We start from the raw sequence: 18545 nt of genomic DNA on the forward strand, positions 1-18545 counted from the left end.
TTTGGAGGTCCCTAAAAGACTGATCACCTGAGCTGTCTGGCAAATTGCTGAAAAGCTCCATTCTCAGGGCTTGTCTTTATCTGACCTGACTCAGAGATCACCCAGTGTCAACAACCCTGTACTCAAAGCATTTGTCAAAAACATTGAACAGCAATCCTTCAAGATCACAGCTGCCTGAGGTGACCTTACCAACTGAGGCTATTAAGAGGCTGATTGGAAACTTAAAAGGAAAAATTGGAGAATGAGATGTCCATAGGAATTTTGGAAAGCTCCAAAATATTCCTGGAAATCTAGAAGGCCATATGTGCAGGGCTGTGCACACATGCCCAGGGCTGTGCACAGGTCCAGGAGAGACCTGAGGAGGCCCTAATCATTCACTGGCTGATCTTAAGGTTCTGTGCAAGCAGGAAGTAAAAGTTGAGACAGAGTGTAAACTGTGAAAGAAGCCAGACACAAGTCCATGTATTATATGATTCCAGTTACACAAAATGTCCAGAAAAGGCAAGTACAGAGAAAGAAAATAGATTACTGATTGTCAGAGGCTGGGGGCAGGAGAAATGCGGAGTGACTGATGAGTATGGGGCTACTTTTGGGGATGAACAATTCTGGAATTAGCGATTGGTGCTTGCACAACTTGAGAATACTAAAAACCACTCAATTATATGCTTTAATAACTTTAATAACAACTTTTAGGCTAGGTGCAGTGGCTCACGCCTATAATCCTAGCACTTTGGGAGGCTGAAGTGAGACTATTACTTGAGCCTAGGAGTTCTATACCAGCCTGGGCAACATGGTGAGACCCAACCCCCACAAAAAATTTTTTAAAATTAACCAGGCATGGTGGTATGTGCCTGTGGCCCCAGTTACTTGGAGTCTGAGGCAGGAGGATCACTTGAGCCCAAGACGTCAAGGCTGCAGGGAGCCATCTTCATACCACTGTTCTCCAGCATGGGCAAGAGTGAGACCTTGTCTCAAAAAACGAAACAAAACATAACTTCTGTAATATGTATATTATACCTTCATAAAGTTGTTATAAAATTAAAAACTTTAATCAGCTTTGTAAAAACCATAACCCAACATTGATAGCTGTCATCCTTCCTCTAAATTTTTAACTGGTGATGTTTTGAGGAATTAATTATGAATTTGAAAATAGTATCCATACAATGCATATTTATGAAAACTTAAGGCATATTTATAGCTTTAGACCTTATTTCAATTTTTCCAAACTCTCTTTCAATTATATTTTATCACAGATAATTTTAGATGAAGTTTAAGAGTTCTTATTTTTAATAAGTTTCTTCCTGTTTACAGATATTTATGGGGGGATAATTATAAAAGCAATACATGTGTACAGTAGAAAATTCAGAAAACACAAAGAAACTAAAAATCACTCATACTATCATCCAGAGATCCAACCATTTTTAACATTTTGGTCTATAGCTTCCAGATTTAACTTTCTTTTCAAATATTAGCATAGTATGGGAGAACAATTCAGAAATACACAAATTTAAGAAAACTAAAATATGTGTTCAATGCCCCAAATCCCCAAATATACTTACGGTTTTGTCTCCAATAAAGGTAAGGTTTGTTCCATTCTCCTTAGCCTTTAAACATTAAAAAAATAATAATAATTAATTCAGAACTTCTTGTTTTTAGCTGCCCAAGTTCCTGTAGCCACTGGGGAAGCCTGCTCCCCAGGTGCAGCACTCCCTCCTTAGAGATGCAGTGAGCACGGGTATCTCCTGCACCACCAAAGTTTTTACTGCACTCTCAGAAATATATAATGAAAACAATTACCTCCTGTTTTTCTCCTAAAAGAGGCAGTCGATGCATAAAATCTCCAGAAAAGGTCTATAAAAGAAACACAAAACAAAACATTAAAGGTGTGTAAATACTAGAAGAAAAGTGTAGCTCAAAATACAAAGAAATGGTTAGAACAAAACACCACACCCTAACTAGTAAATATAATAACACAGCATCAGTAGACAAAACATTTCCAATTAACCACAAACAAGTGAATAAAACCCTGCTGGGAACTAGAAAATAGTATCAAACCAAAATGGCCATTCAATTTTTCTATCAGAATAATAAACATTTAAGAATGACAAAGCTTTAGATATAGGATGTATGCTTAGGATAGAAGAAGCTTAGATCATTTCCCCTCATTCTACAGATGAGTAAAATGTGGCTCAAAACTACAAAGCTTTAGACAAAGAAATAGGATTTAAACCTAATATTCTTTTTTTTTTTTTTGAGACGGAGTCTTGCTCTGTTGCACAGACTGGAGTGCAGTGGTGTTATCTCGGCTCACTGCAAGCTCCGCCTCCCAGGTTCATGCCATTCTCCTGCCTCAGCCTCCCGAATAGCTGGGACTACAGGTGCCCGCCACCATGCCTGGCTAATTTTTTTGTATTTTTAGTAGAGACAGGGTTTCACCGTGTTAGCCAGGATGGTCTCAATCTCCTGACCTCATGATCCGCCCACATCGGCCTCCCGAAGTGCTGGGACTACAGGCGTGAGCCACCGCGCCCGGCCTAAACCTAATATTCTTGATGCTTAGGTCTGCTGTCCCTTCCACCATACTACATTTTTTATGCCTGTAAAAAACTACACTAATTATCTTTCTTACCAGTTATCAGTAGATGAGGCATTGTCCTTCCTGAGTAATGAGACTGTGTAATTCAACCCTGTTACATTAGACTGGAGGAGGAGAGGAAACCTTACCAATAAGCCAAGACCCTGGAAAGATTACAGCACATCTAAAAGTAGTCAGCCTCCAGCAACCAGATGCATCAGGTAGCTTTCCATAATCAAATCCAAGAAAAGACCAACCAATCCTCCTAGTCTAAGGGATAAATTTGGAAAACCAACAGAAAACATACAAACTACACAACATCACATTGCTTCTAGCTTTCTCTACCATTCTTTCACCATCTTAAAGCTATTTTCTTTTCCCTCCAAGACCATAAAATCTAAGTTATAATAAAAGCGGAACTCTTCCTTCAATTACCAATTAATTCATCTGCTCATCAATTATCCCTTTTTTTTTTTTTTTTTTGAGACCAAGTTTCACTCTTGTCGCCCAGGCTGGAGTGCACTGACACTATCTCAGCCTCCTGGGTTCAAGTGATTCTCCCACTTCAGCCTCCCGAGTAGCTGGGATTACAGGTACCCGCCACCATGCCCGGCTAATTTTTTTGTAGAGACAGGGTTTCACCATGTTGGCCAGGCTGGTCTTGAACTCCTGACCTCAGGTGATCCGCCCACCTCGGCCTCCCAAAGTGCTGGGATTACAGGCCTGAGCCACCGCATCTGGCCTCAATTACCAATGACTAAATTTGTCTTCTTAATAATAAACTTTACTTCTAGTAATTTGACAGTTCAAGGCAAGTTGCTAAATATTCCAAAATAATTTTTAAATATAGTAAGGACAAGTATAGATGATAATTACTATAACTATTTTCAACACATATAAAATTTTTCTATCAAAAAACTGAGATTACTATTTCTAAGACAACAAAATTTGATATCAGAATCTCCACTTACATGATTGCATATGTGTAAGCACGAAAAATGTATGATTATTCACATCTCCCTCTTTCTACAAAATTAAGGTGTGAAATTGAACTCTAAGACAATGATGATACCCTTCTGATTTCAGATCTATAGAAGTAAATTTTAAAAACCCTGATTTTTCTGGGAACATATTAATTAGATGAGGAGACCAAAGAATTAAAAATGTGACGTTTTAAATGTCCATCAACAGATGAATGGAAAAACAAAATGTGGTACATACATACAATAGAACATCACTTAGCCTTAAAAAGGAATGAAATTCTGATAACGCTATAACATGGATGAACCTTAAAAACATTATGCTAAGTGGAAGAAGTCAGACAAAAAAGAACAAAAGTTGTATGATTCTATTTATATGAGGTATCTAGAATAGTCAAATTCATGGAAAGTAGAAGAGTGGTTACCATGGTCTTGGGGTTGGAAGGTGGGGAATTTTTGTTTAATAGGTATGATGTTTCAGTTTGGGATGATAAAAGTACTAGAGATGGGGCTCAGCCCGGTGGCTCACACCTGTAATCCCAGCATTTTGGGAGGCCAAGGTGGGTGGATCACTTCAGGTCAAGAGTTCAAGACCAGCCTGGCTAACATGGTGAAATCCTGTCTCTACAGAAAATACAAAAAAAATTAGCCAGGCGTAATGGTGTGAATCTGTAGCCCTAGCCACTTGGGAGGCTGAGGTGAAAGAATTGCTTAGATCCGGGTGATGGAGACTGCAGTGAGCCGAGATTGTGCCACTGCACTCCAGCCTGGCGGACAGAGCAAGAATCTGCCTTGGGGAAAAAAAAAGTACTGGAGATGGGTCGATGGCTGCACAGCAATGTGAATATATTTAATGCCACTGTATTATACACTTAGAAATGGTTAAAATGGTAAATTTTATGTAGTGTATATTTTACCACAATAAAAAAATGGGGGTTTGCTTTTTACACACAAAGCAAAGTACAACCTCTCTTTGATGAGTATGTATAAGTGGCTGACTATGTACCTATCAGAACATGCTTCCACTTACTTCTGCCAAAAGAAATACTTGAGAAGTCGGAAGTGGATACAGCCAAAAATATATACATTCCAATTTTTGCCTATTCTATTTATCTCCAATCACTTTCAAAGATTACCTGTGTTTTAAAGAGTTCACTGCAGTTCTGGAACAATTTTGATGATGTTTGATATTTCCCAGACAAGCCTCTTTTTTCCTTAAGTTTTTCCAAATACAACTCTACTTCTTCTGCCTGGAAAAAGAGATAATACAGAGTAGTTAACTCACCTTCCAAAAAATAAGATACTAAGAGCACAGCACAACAAACAGTTCACCTGCAGTACAGATACAATTTTGAGTTTGCTATTTTAAAAATGAACAGCATCAGATAAAGGCTCTATATAAAAATATCTAAGAATCAAACACTATCAGACTCAAGGACTATTAGACTCTAGTCTTTGGCTCACAAGGCATAGTTCTACTAACAATTCTGAGTAGACTGGGAAACTGCCAGAGTGTAGAGGGTTTTGTCACATTAAAATATACTTAAAAGATTTACTTGACCAAATTAACAACATCAACAAAAAAATATTCATGCTCATAAGCTAAGATAGAGCAGAAAATTGTTGCAAGCACAGAACTAGGATAATCTTCTTAAAAATGCAAATTGAGAGATAGAAACAGAATGGAAAAGGTCTGAAAAATTCAACTCAGAACTATATATATGTGTGTGTATATATATATATATATTTTTTTTTTAACTTTTATTTTAGGTTCCGGTATACATACGCAACTTTGTTATATAGGTAAACTGAACTCACAGGGAACTGTTTTACAGATTATTTCATCACCCAGGTACTGCCTAGTACTCAAGAGTTATTTTTTCTGATCCTCTCCCTCCTCCCACCCTCCACCCTCAAGTAGGCCCAGTGTCTGCCGTTCCCCTCTTTGTGATCATGTGTTCTCATCATTCAGCTCCCACTTATAAGTGAAAACGTGGTATTTCGCTTTCTGTTCCTGTGTTAGTTTGCTAAGGTTAATGGCCTCCAGCTCCTTCTGTGTTCTTGCAAAGGAAATGATCTCATTCTTTTTTATGGTTGCATATGTATCACATTCTTTTTTATGGCCGCATATGTACCACATTTATCCAGTTTACCATTGATGGGCATTTAGGTTGATTCCATGTCTTTGCTATTGTAAACAGTGCTGCAGTGAACATATATGTGCATATGTCTTTACGGTAGAATGATTTATATTACTTTGGATATATACCCAGTAATGGGATTGCTGGGTCAAATGGTAATTCTGTTTTTAGCTCTTTGAGGAATTGCCACAGTGCTTTCCACAGTGGTTGAACTAATTTACACTCCCACTAACAATGTATAAGCATTCCCTTTTCTCCACAACCTTGCCAGCATCTATTATCCTTTGACTTTCTCATAATAGCCATTCTGATGTGAGATGGTATCTCATTGTGGTTTTGATTTGCATTTCTCTAATAATCAACGATACTGAGCTTTTTTTTTTTCATATGCTTGTTGGCTGTATATCTTCTTTTGAAAAGTGTCTGTTCATGTCCTTTACCCACTTTTCTATGGGGTTGTTTTTTGCATATAAATTTGTTTAAGTTCCTTATAGAGGCTGGATATTAGACCTTTGTTGGATGCATAGTTTGCAAATATTTTCTCCCATTCTGTAGGCTGTCTACTCTATTGATAGTTTCTTTTGCTGTGCAGAAGCTCTTAAACTTAATTAGATCCCATTTGTCAATTTTTGCTTTTGTTGCAATTGCTTTTGGCGCAATTGCTTTTGGCATCTTCATCATGAAATCTTTGCCACTTCCCATGTCCAGAATGGTATTGCCTAGGTTGTCTTCCAGGGTTTTTATAGTTTTGGGTTTTACATTTAAGTCTTTAATCTATCTTGAGTTGATTTTTGAATATGGTGTGAGGAAGGGGTCCAGTTTCAATCTGCATATGGCCAGCACGCTACCGCAACACTATCTACTAAATAGGGAGTCCTTTCCCCATTGCTTGTTTTTTGTCAGCTTTGTTAAATATCAGATGGTTGTAGGTGTGCGGCCTTATTTCTGGGCTGTCTTCTCTGTTTCATTGGTCTTTGTGTCTGTTTTGGTTACTGTAGCCCTGTAGTACAGTTTGAAGTCAGGTAATGTGATGCTTCCAGCTTTATTCTTTGAGCAATATATTTTCAACGCTCAAGTATTCTAGATTATGGCAATTCTCAAAAGTGTGGCCGTTGAACCATAGACAAAACTATTTTCATGGCTGGGCACAATGGCTCACGCCTGTAATCCCAGCACTTTGGGAGACTGAGGCAGGTGGATCACCTGAGGTCAGGAGTTTGAGACCAGCCTGGCCAACATGGCAAAACCCCATCTTTACTAAAAATACAAAAATTAGCCGGGTGTGGTGGCAGACACCTGTAATCCCAGCTACTTGGGAGGCTGAGGCTGGACAATCACTTGAACCCAGGAGGCAGAGGTTGTGGTGAGCTGAGATCGCGCCACTGCACTCCAGCCTGGGTGACAGAGTGAGACTCCATCTCAAAAAAAAAAAAACTATTTTCATAATAATAATAGTATGCTATTTGACTTGTAACGATATTACAAAAGCAATAGTGGGTAAAACTGTTGCCCCTTATCAGGAACTAAGGCAGTGGCATTTAATTCTACTAGCAGTCATATTCTTCATAGTCACAAACTGGCAGTTTTTAAAAATGCCACTTTTATGTAAGAATATCCTAGATAAAGCAGTAAAAATTATTAATGTTATTAAATCTGGACCTTTTGAGTACCTGACTTTTTAAATAATCTAGGTGACAAAATGGAAAGCATGCAAAATACAATAAATTATTGTCTTGAGATAAAGCACTCTGCAATTGCTTTGACTTGTGAGTTAAACTAATCATTTTTTCCACGAAACACCATATTTACTTGAAAGAATGACTGAAAAACTACCATTACTCAGACTTGGTTATTTGAGAGTTATTTCTCTGGAAATGGGCAACAGAGGCTGTCCCCTCAAGGAAGACAACTGACAGTATTCACTGCCAAAATAAAATTTGAGATTTCAAGCAAAAACTGGAATTTTGAAGAACTTGTATCTGCTACACTGAATTTAACGGCTTCCAAAACTTAAGAACCTACTGATGAGATGAAGAGGGCAGGGTATAGTTATAAACAATGTAATTTTTAGCTAAGTGTGAAATGAGTTAATATTTATAAAAATGTATATAATTCAGTCAACTGCTATTTTCTAAATGACCAATAAATGATGCTACAAGATCACACACAGGTAAAAGATACATTCATATCAGTGGATTTCTTATCAGAGTACAAAAAAAGTTCATTAATATTTCAGATTCCACATTGCAACTAACCTTTAAAAACTTCCACTTGTTGAGTTTTGGTATAGAATCAAAAAAGAATATCCTCAGTTATCTGAAAAGGCCATTAAAATACCATTCCTTTTCCCAACTATATATCTGTATGAGGTCATTATTTTCTACATGTACTTAAGCCAAATTATTGCAACAGACTGAGTGAAGGAGGGAATATAAGAATACAGTGATCTTCTGTTATGCCAGATAGTAAACAAATTTACAAAAATACAAAACAATCCTACTCTTCTGTGTGGTTTTCTGGGAAAAACAGTTATTTATATTAACATGCAATAAGTTTATTATTGCTACTTTAAAATAAACTAATAAATATTTTTATATTTTCTCAGTTGTAATTTCTAATAGCATAACCCACATGCTCAAAGGCTTTCTGGAGTCCACAATAATTTTTACAAATATAAGAGTTCTGAAACCAAAAAGTTTGAGAATTGGTGGTCTGCAAATTGGGAAGCATGCATTCTAGTTTCAGCTCTCCTCCTCCATAGCTACATGATACTCTTTCCTCTATGAAATTAAGAGACTGGAACCAGATAATCACTAAGGTCCAAAAAAACTCTGTAATTTTATGTTCCTTACCTTGAAGTTATAGATTTCATTGTAACAATCAGCGCTTTTCAGATACCAGGTTATATTCAAAGACAGGTCACAAGGTTCTCCATCAACTACAAAAGAAGAAATCTTTGTTAACAAAAGATAATTCCCCAACAAAGCATTTTTCCTAAGCTGTTAACCTATATCCTATTCATTTCGTACCCTAAACTGAGATACTCAAAGACCATCCTTTCTCCAAACATAAGGTATTGAAATAATACATGCAAAAAGAGCTGGATATTAAGATAAAAGTATTGTTGTTCATAGAAAAATAGCAGGTAAGCAGTTTTTAACCTCTGGAAACTGTGGATCTATTTTTATGCCATAAAGTCCTAACTTCTGGATCTCTATTGAGAAAAACCTGGGAGTGATAAAGCACTCTAAATTCAAGCCAGTCTTCTATTATTTAAGTATTTATTGAGCAGGCTAGGTGCGGTAGCTCACACCTATAACCCCAGAAGTTTGGGAGGCCAAGGCAGGGGGATCGCTTGAGCCCAGGAGCTCAAGACCACCCTAGGCAACATAGTGAGAACTCATCTCTACAAAAAATGATTAAAAAGCTAGGCGTGGTGGTACATGCTTGTAGTCCCAGCTACTCAGGCAAGGGAGGCAGGAGGATCACTTGAGCCCAGGAGGTCAAGTCTGCAGTGAGCCATGATGGTACCACTGCACTCCAGCCTGGGCGACAGAGCGAGACCCTGTCTCAAAAAACATAAATAAATAAATAAATAAATAAATAGCACAAGTATTACAAAGGTATAATGGCACACTGTTAGGCTAAAGAGGGAAACGAGTGGAAACAAATTATTAAGACCCTTCAAAAGGCTAGTTGAAGAGACAAGCAATAATAAAATTAGGAATGCATGTCACAAGGCAATATTAACAACTGTTAAATGGTGTTAAATGATGATATACATAATAGTTCCACTGAGAGCAAAATTGCTATCTCAGACCTTGAAAGATATCAAGATAGAACAGAAAGAGCAATGAACGAAAAGCAAACATGGCTGTGGAAGGTAGAAATAGCAAAAGCAAAGATAAGAGTATCAGATTTTTTTTTTCAAAGCCTACCTTAAAAGAGGCCTCAAGGAAGCTCATGTTATCATGGAAGCTTCATAAAGCTCATTAAACACAGTTTGGAACACAGTATTCTAATGGATCAAGACATTATTCTGAAGACTTGGGAGGGTAAATCTGACTATATGACTGATTAGCTGGAGGAAGTCAGTATTCGCTTTTATCTTTGATTCTAGCTATGAAAGGAAAAATATACTAAAGACTCCCTACTTTATATAAATGTAATAATAAACATGACAAAAATAAACATGACTGCATTTAGGAATCTACTTTTCATTCATAACAAAAGAAGCAACCTAATTATAAGCTTCCTTTTTTTTTCTTTTAAACTGTTTTCTCAAACTAATTTTTAGATGACCAACACATTTTCAAAGGACTCTATTAGAATGTTCAAAAATTTGACCTGTTGGATAGAATTTATGGAAATGATAAAAAGCAATTGGGCTATGAACTATTCAAAATAATCCATACAGGGACAGGATTAACTAATAAAAAGCCAGTAAGAACACATCCCCCAAACAGGAGACTTGTAAGGAAATTTGGCAGCAAAAATACTGCTGTTTATGTTACAAGACAATATTTAGAACTTTAAATGAAAGGCTTTAAGAGACAATAAGGTCGGGCGCGGTGGCTCACGCCTGTAATCCCAGCACTTTGGGAGGCCGAGGCGGGTGGATCATGAGGTCAGGAGATCGAGACCATCCTGGCTAACAAGGTGAAACCCCGTCTCTACTAAAAATACAAAAAATTAGCCGGGCGCGGTGGCGGGCGCCTGTAGTCCCAGCTACTCGGGAGGCTGAGGCAGGAGAATGGCGTGAACCTGGGAAGCGGAGCTTGCAGTGAGCCGAGATTGCGCCACTGCAATCCGCAGTCCGGCCTGGGCGACAGAGCGAGACTCCGTCTCAAAAAAAAAAAAAAAAAAAAAAATGGTCCCAGCTATTCCATGGAAAGCTATATACCATCCCCCAAAAAGTACAAAATCAAAGACAACTGGTAAATATGAGAAAGCACAGAAATAACAAAGAAAAAGATAATGTTAAAGTGTCTCAGGCCGGGCACGGTGGCTCACACCTGTAATCCCAGAACTGTGGGAGGCCAAGGCAGGCAGATAACTTGAGGTCGGGAGTTCGAGACCAGCCTGGCCAATATGGTGAAACCCCCACCTCTGCTAAAAATACAAAAATTAGCCGGCGTGGTGGCACGCGCCTATAGTCCCAGCTACTCGGGAGGCTGAGGCAGAAGAATCGCTTGAACCCAGGAAGCAGAGGTTACAGTGAGCCGAGATCGTGCCACTGCATTCCAGCCTGGGCGTCACAGCAAAACTCCGTCTCAAAAAACAACAACAAAAAATAAAGTGCCTCAAATCCTCCAAAAACAATGAAATATAAACACTTCAAAATACGCAGTTAGGGCTGGGCATAGAGACTCATGCCTGTAATCCCAGCTACTCGGGAGGCTGAGGCAGGAGAATCGCTTGAACCTGGGAGGTGGAGGTTGCAGTAAGCCAAGATCGTACCACTGCACTCCAGTCTGGGTGACAGAGTGAGACACCATCTTAAAAAAAATGCAGTTGGTTTAACTTGGCAAAACACCACTAGATCAAACTACACGAGAAAAAAAGACTGGACCTAATAAAAGAATAAAACAGCAAACAGGCTGTCAAGCTATTCCAAAAGACAAGGGTTACTAGGTTACCCAGTAAACCAATCTCACAAGGCCAGTGTCAGAGTAGATTTGATCTAAATCAAATATAAGTCACTGGTCAGGAGACTGATTACATATTCATGGATACAGTATATATTCTTCAGAGAAATTCTACCTGCTGTTTTCACTCCCACTAGAATGTAAGCTCGATGAGGGAAGAACATTTTTCTATTACTTCCCCACAGTCTATGCAATAAGTAATAATTACTCACTAAACAATTGAAAAGAATAAAATTATCCAACTATGACTTAAAATTTTGCACTTCCGTGAAGACAGTATGCATAGAATCACACATCTATCATCAGGATTTTTATCCCTCATCTAGAAATAAAGCTGCCCACGATCAATCGTTCTCTAAATTAAAGCCGGTTTCAGAACTAAAAGGAAGCTTTTACTGAACACACAATGGGATACTTTAGATTCAGATACAGTCATTTTTCCACTAGACAAACTAGTTTTGTTCTACATAATCCCTATTTCTTGATAATATCTGAGCTTCCTCTTCCAAAGCAGTAAAATACTCCTTTTGTAAATAAAGGATCTACTAAATATATTCCTTCACAGCCAACGGCCTGACAAACCTAGGTCATGTTTGCAGTAAACATTTAACAAGCACACAAGAGTAAAACCTCTTTAATCTACACAGAACAGATTAAAACCACCATGCAGGGAATCAACCCCAACATAATCACAGTCATTCACTACATAACATTTCAGTAAATGAAAGACTACATATACAACGGGGGTCCCATAAAATTGTAATATCGTATTTGTACTCTACTTTCCTATGTTTAGATATACAAAAACTTACCATTGTGTTACAACCACCTATAGCATTCAGTACAGTAACATGTTATACAGGTTTATAGCCTAGGAGCAATAGGCTGTACCATACAAACTAGGCGTGTAGTGCCATCCAGTTTTAAGTATACTCTATGATGTTTGCATAATGACAAAATCACCTAAGGATGCTTTTCTCAGAAAGTATCAACTGTAAATGTAATTCGACTGAGATGTGACTGAATATTCAATGTAGTATATACAGCATATATATTAATATATACATTATATATACTAATATATAATGTCTACATAGTGTATATATGCAATGTAAACACCAGAAAAACAAGAGAAGAAAATAAAGTTCACACGAGTACTTTGAAGATGATTCAGTAAAAGGACCTTAGTAATACTAAAAATATTTATACCTAGATAATGCCAGACTATTAGATTTCAGAACTTATAAAATAGGTAATTTAAAACATTACCTATAAATTTTTAAAATTCAAATTAAAACTTCATGAAATTCAAAAACTCACACTTCAGGAAGATAGTGGTATTTCTGAAGAGGATCTTTCCAAAACTAAAATAATTTTTCCCCTGCAAACATAAAGGAAAGATAATTAGCCTCAGATGGCTTCAATTACCAAAGCATCATATAACTATCTAAGACTGCTAGAAATTCCAACTTAACTTAAATCTTTATGGGACGTACCCCTTAATCAGTTCATTCCCTTTACTCACCAATCACTGCTCAGAATAACCAATCATTTTTTCTAATGAACTATTCTGTGTGCAAATAACCAGAGTTTTATTTTCAAATCTAAAAAGACTTAACTATTAACCATTTTAGTAACAAGTAAAAACCTAACTGAACACCTGAAAATCTTCACCACTGAACAAAAGGTATAACGTTTACCATAATAAAAGCCCAAATAAGATTTGGACATTACAGTCAGTGAGCAGAGCAGAATGAAACAAAAAGGCCAACGTAGGTTTAATGGGGCTAATGCTTTTCAGCATTTCCTCCCTGCATCTGGTTTTTGTCTGCTCACAGGACTATACCTGTTACTGAAATAAGGTTTAAAATGGGTAAGGGGCAGAAAGGGTCAACCCATGTAGTTAATTATCCAAATGAAAGACTAGCCTTACCACATTAAATTTTAAGTACTATTTCTTCAATTTTAACCATTCCCATGTTAAAACACATTTCTTAAATCTCTATGCTTTCTAGTCACACAGTAAAGCTTAGAATAGCCATTCCAAAGTTGAAGCGAAGTCGAACCATCTCGTAAGCAGAATTACCCAGGGACCAAGAAGTGCAGAGGAAGAAAAAGAAAGAAAGAAATGAAGACTCCTATTTACATATCTTTCTTATCCAACCCGGGGACACTGGATTCTGTGAAACATCTGAAAGATAAACAACTCTCCGTTTGTACATCAAGTTTACATCTCAAGTCAGGCACTGAAAGTTCTGTTTTTCTGATGAGAAGCCGCTCCACCACTCCTTTCTGTTGCTGAAGTGGCCCTTACATTCCCGCTAGCCTAATCACAGAAGTGCGCGGCTTTCCACTCCAGGGAGGTGGGTCCCAGTTGGCTAGCCACACAGACCATCCCAGCAACCCCACCCCTTTTGAAGAGACTTTTGCGGAACCTTCATGGACCCCTTGGGCCGCCGTAGCCCCACCCCTTGCTCCTCTAGGTTCAGACGTTAGTGAAGTGAATACTCACCGACGGTATCGGAATGTGCCATTTGGACCGGTCGGCAGCAGCTACGGTTGCCGGTCCCGCACTGAAAAACGACAGTGGTGACGGGTGAGCTCCCAGAAGCAGAAGAATGACAGGCAACACCTGAAGCCACGCAGCCGCCGCCATCTTCACAGCCGTGGAGTGCCTACCGAAAGCATTTCACCCTCTTCCGGTTCGTCCCGCCTTCTTCCGGCTCTGCTCTAAGGGCGGGATTATCCGGGTCCTGGAAACGTCGCGGAGCTTGTTTGCTGTGCGGCGTAGCGGCCCCTCTCTCAGACAGTCGTCTGTGCGCCGTGAGACTTTGGACCTACTGCGCAGGCGTCATCCTGTTGGAACCTGGTCAGCTGGGTTAGAGAGATCGCTACATGCCAGCCTGGCCTGAGTCTTTTCTGTCTCCCAGCCGTTAAAGGTTTTAGGACCAGGCAGGCACCCCGTGCAGGATTTGGCTCTCTACTTCCGCTCGCCCCAGCCCTTCATCCCTTCTAAGTCAATGTCAGACTTTGGGGCCAGAAAGTCTGGAAAAGCCCTAAGCCTGGCTGCCCAAGTGGCGTCTAGTAGTGAGTTCTCCGGTTTGGGTGGTATTTAAGCAAAGGCTGGAATTCGGCGGTGGTGGAGTACACGCGATTCCTAGACTGGGTAGTGTAACAACCTTCAAAGGCCCCTTCTAGCCCTGAAGAGTACGATGCTGCAGTACAATCTGGCTGGAGACCTAGCCTCCAGCAAAGACCCGGCCGGCACTTCCCACCCTTAACCGAAAACGGAGACAGAGAGGGTCAGTTTTCAAAATCTGTGGCGTGACCCCGCCACTGAGATAGATCTGCAGATGCTTCGTCCCAGTCAGGGAGGCCGTCTCGGCATTTCCAGGTTCTTAACGCTCTTGATTTTTACCCTCTAGGACTCATTGCGTACACGCCCTCACCGCCGCCCAGTTTCGGTTCCTAACAAAAGCACGTTCCTCATCAGCCACCCATAATCAAGACAAATTTGCCAAATAAATCATTGTAGAAACGCTAGTTTGGGCCTGAAAAATTCCAGGAGCAAGAGTCAAGATTTGTCACTCCATGAGAATCTGGAGGGGACTCCCTTCCCAGAAACTTGACGATGAAGTACTGGTTGTAATTTTAGAAAGACACCCAATCGGCTTTTTTAAAAGATCGCCCAGGGCCCTTGTCCTGAGAGCTGGGAGCTGGTCGGAGTGACAGAGAAGCCATGGAAGCAGCAGTGAAAGAGGAAATAAGGTAAAGGCCAAGTGCTTCTGTAGCGAGTGACCCCAGGGTCCCTAGAAACAGGGAATAGTGTTTTAATTGCATTTCTTATTTGCGTATTTGGTATTTGCTGACCTTTATCTTTTCTCTCAATTCGCGGGAAGTTAGTTGATATTAATAGCCTCTCATAAAATACTTTCAGGATGGTTAAATAGGCCGGGTGCAGTGGCTCACGCAGGTAATCCCACAGCACTTTGGGAGGCTAAGGTGGGAGGATCGCTTGAGTTCAGGAGTTCGAGACCCCCTCCCCGCCCCCTCGGAGTCCCAGCTACTTGGGAGACCACTGGGAGGATGGATTTGGAGGCTGCAGTGGAGCTGTGATCTTGCCACTGCTTGGGCAACAAAGTGAGACCCTGTCTCCAAAAAAAAAGGATGGTTAAATAACATTAACAGTGGAAAAGTTGCAATCAGAACTCTTAACACGTGAATTTCAGGCATGTTGCTTTCCAAATTCATCTATAATCACCCCTTCCTATATCATCCCAGAGTTAATTCTTCGAAGCTGTAAAGAGGAAACAAAAGATTCTCCAATCTTTGTACACTTGATTAAAATAAACTGGGCCGGTTCGCTCATGCCTGTAATCCCAGCACTTTGGGAGGCCTATAGGTGGGCAGATTGCTTGAACCCAGGAGTTCAGACCAGCCTGGGCAACATGCTGAATCCCTGTCTCTACAAAAATTTTAAAGTTAGCCAGACGTGGTGATGTGGGCCTGTAGTCCCAGCTACTCAGGAGGCTGAGGCAGGAAGATAGCCTGAGCCCAGGAGGCGGCAGTTGCAGCAAGCCAAGATCGTGCCACTTCACTCCAACGTAGGAGGCAGAGCGAGATCCTGTCTCAAAAAAAATTTTTTTAATAAATTAAAATAAACGGACAAAGACTGAGTTCAGTGAAGGACAAACAGTTTTTTAGTATGGCCAAGTATATCTGCCTGGGCTTGTTTTCATAATATTTCGACGTTTGTGTTCAGTCATAGCTTTCTACATAATCATGGACATGCTGACTACAGATGCATTCGGCCACACTAGTGCATGAAAGCCGGTGTAATTTTTTTTTCTCCTTATAATCTGTAGTTGTTTTAATCAGATGGAGGCTAGTTTAAATACATATACTCAAACTTCAATATACATATATCTCATTCATGTTTTATCCCAGAAACAGCTCTTCTGGAAACTTGGTTTTAAAAAACATGGCCCCTAGTTTGTCACCTCATCTTAAAAAGCAAGAAATTCCCCTTCTACGTCTGTTCTGTTCTTATTCTAGCACCTTGCACCTCTATTAAAGCATTTGTCAGCTTGTATTGTGATTGCTGGTAAAACCCTAACTGATAGCTTGAACACAGTTCATATCTTCCTCAGAGCCCAGCTCTCAGGAAGAATATTCTGAAAATATTTTCTTGAATAAATCGGTGGGTGGGTTATGGTTCTTAGTTTGTCTGGTTGGTTGGTTTTGGTTTGTTCGTTTTGGGATGCTGTTTTGGTTTTCCTCCTTCAGATTTTACTTTTGTGGTCATAGCCTTCAGTCATTATTTCAAAAGAATATGTCCTCATAAGTGACAGTGATCTTTTCCCATTACTTTTGGAGTAATCCCAGAACCTGATGTTTTGTTGTTTACCTCAGAGGGTTTACAAAAGGCTATTGTTCTGCAACATAATGTGCTATTATGTTATACTGTGGCCGTGACACAATTTTGCATTGCAGAATAGACTCCAAAGGTTTATTTTGCATGTTCATACTGTCGTTAGAGAAGGTACAAAAGTTGGATTCACAAGCCCTGTGTGAAATAAATTTCTCAAAATGTCTTTTTATTTAGTCTTGAAGATGAAGCTGTAGATAAAAACATTTTCAGAGACTGTAACAAGATCGCATTTTACAGGTAAGGAAAATAAATATAGTAGCTAGATCAAAACATCTCTGACAGTATTTCAAAATTGATGCTTATTAAATTTTTGGAACTGATAGACTTTCCAAGGAAAGGATAATTTAATAATTAAGGAAATCATCAGACAGGAGACTCACTTTTAACTTTATACATTTACTCCTGAAGTATTTAAATTTTTCAATAAACAGCTATTTTATTTTAAAAGCCAAAATATTTTTAAACTAGTTTTAAATTTTGACGCTTTGAATAGATAACACTTTTACATGGTTCAAAAATAATATAAAGAGCTATACATTGAAAAATGTTGCTTCCACTCCTGTCCCCTTCTACCCATTCCTCATCTTGTCCCGAATAACCGAATTTCTTCATTTCTTATTTATCCTTCCAGTATTTTTTTGTAAATACATGTATTTTTATATTATTGCTTTTCTCTTTTTTTAATCACCCCTTTTTATACCAAATAGGTTTTTTTTCCTGCTTTATAGTTTGTTCTGAGGAGAAATTCATATGAGTGCATGGAGATTGTTTCTCCTTTTTACAGCTGCATAATATTCCATGGGGTAGATATACTATTAATATAATTTATTCAGTCTGTCTCTTATTGCTAGACCCTTGGGTTGTTTTTAATCTTTTGCTAAAATAGCACTACCACAATGAAGAGCTATACATAGGTCATTTTCTACACATGCAGGTGTATTTATAGGATACCTTTCTAGGAGTGAGATTACTGGGTCAAAGAGTAAATGCATTTGAAATGTGTTAACTATTACCAGATTTCCCTCCATAGGAATTATACCATTTGTACTCCTATCAACATTATATAAGATTGCCTGGCTGGGCGAGGTGGCTCACACCTGTAATCCCAGCACTTCGGGAGGCCAAGGCAGGCGGATCACCTGAGGTTGGGAGTTTGAGACCAGCCTGACCAACATGCAGAAACCCCGTCTCTACTAAAAATACAAAATTAGCCAGGCATGGTGGCGCATGCCTGTAATCCCAGCTACTTGGGAGGCTGAGGCAGGAGAATTGCTTGAACCTGGGAGGCAGAGATTGTGGTGAGCCGAGATTGTGCCATTGCACTCCAGCCTGGGCAACAAGAGTGAAACTCCGTCTAAAAAAAAAAAAAGATTGCCTGTTTCTCCAGAGCTACAAAAAATATGCCTTTAAAATCTTCATTTTATTTTATTTTTATGCATTTTTTTGAGACGGAGTCTCCCTCTGTCACCCAGGCTGGAGTGCAGTGGCGCAATCACTGCCCACCACAACCTCCACCTCCTGGGTTCAAGCGATTCTTCTGCCTCAGCCTCCCGACTAGCTGGGATTACAGGCATGCACCACCACGCCCGGCTAATTTTTTGTATTTTTAGTAGAGAGGGGGTTTCACCATGTTGGTCAGGCTAGTCTTGAATTCCTGACCTCAGATGATCCATCCACCTCGGCCTCCCAAAGTACTGGGATTACAGGCGTGAGCCACCACGCCTGGCCATAATGTTCATTTGAAAAAAAAAAAAAAAAAAAAAACAGTCT

General features: G+C 39.3%; 2 protein-coding genes across 32 annotated transcripts in view, besides 3 other annotated features; one reads left to right on the forward strand and one right to left on the reverse strand.

Moving 5' to 3' along the window:
- Window positions 1-14186, reverse strand: part of TMEM87A (transmembrane protein 87A) — a 63138-nt gene extending 48952 nt beyond the window's left edge. For 13 of the 22 annotated variants that reach the window (NM_015497.5, NM_001438993.1, NM_001438998.1 and 10 more), the window contains exons 1-6: window positions 13857-14035; window positions 12665-12725; window positions 8549-8634; window positions 4692-4805; window positions 1798-1851; window positions 1560-1604 (exon numbers count right to left, since the gene is read on the reverse strand). In NM_015497.5, coding sequence (NP_056312.2) covers window positions 1560-1604; window positions 1798-1851; window positions 4692-4805; window positions 8549-8634; window positions 12665-12725; window positions 13857-14000 — 504 coding nt within the window. In that variant the 5' untranslated portion in view covers window positions 14001-14035. Of the gene's footprint in view, window positions 1-1559; window positions 1605-1797; window positions 1852-4691; window positions 4806-8548; window positions 8635-12664; window positions 12726-13490; window positions 13668-13856 lie in introns of those variants that run through there. The other 9 variants (NM_001438996.1, NM_001438995.1, NM_001438994.1 and 6 more) reach the window with 6 other exon arrangements.
- Window positions 13385-13634: an enhancer, noted in NCBI's record as "active region_9297". NCBI's record gives its function as "activates an Ori minimal core promoter by ATAC-STARR-seq in GM12878 lymphoblastoid cells {active_cell/tissue: GM12878}" and the evidence as "EXISTENCE:reporter gene assay evidence [ECO:0000049][PMID:35858748]".
- Window positions 13795-14024: an enhancer, noted in NCBI's record as "active region_9298". NCBI's record gives its function as "activates an Ori minimal core promoter by ATAC-STARR-seq in GM12878 lymphoblastoid cells {active_cell/tissue: GM12878}" and the evidence as "EXISTENCE:reporter gene assay evidence [ECO:0000049][PMID:35858748]".
- Window positions 13803-18545, forward strand: part of GANC (glucosidase alpha, neutral C) — an 80466-nt gene continuing 75723 nt past the window's right edge. For 3 of the 10 annotated variants that reach the window (NR_172055.1, NM_001393928.1, NM_001301410.2), the window contains exons 1-3: window positions 13803-14046; window positions 14770-15112; window positions 16950-17012. Coding sequence is in view for 9 of the 10 variants with exons in the window: in NM_001393928.1 (NP_001380857.1) it covers window positions 15084-15112; window positions 16950-17012 (92 nt within the window). In the remaining variant the exon portion in view is untranslated. Of the gene's footprint in view, window positions 15113-16949; window positions 17013-18545 lie in introns of all 10 variants that reach the window. The other 7 variants (NM_198141.3, NM_001393931.1, NM_001393932.1 and 4 more) reach the window with 4 other exon arrangements.
- Window positions 13997-15196: an enhancer, noted in NCBI's record as "MED14-independent group 3 enhancer chr15:42565593-42566792 (GRCh37/hg19 assembly coordinates)". NCBI's record gives its function as "activates an origin of replication core promoter dependent on BRD2, BRD4, P300/CBP and CDK7 cofactors, and independent of MED14, by STARR-seq in HCT116 cells {active_cell/tissue: HCT116}" and the evidence as "EXISTENCE:reporter gene assay evidence [ECO:0000049][PMID:35650434]".

The sequence above is a fragment of the Homo sapiens genome, chromosome 15, assembly GCF_000001405.40.
Source record: "Homo sapiens chromosome 15, GRCh38.p14 Primary Assembly".
Lineage (NCBI taxonomy): Eukaryota > Metazoa > Chordata > Mammalia > Primates > Hominidae > Homo > Homo sapiens.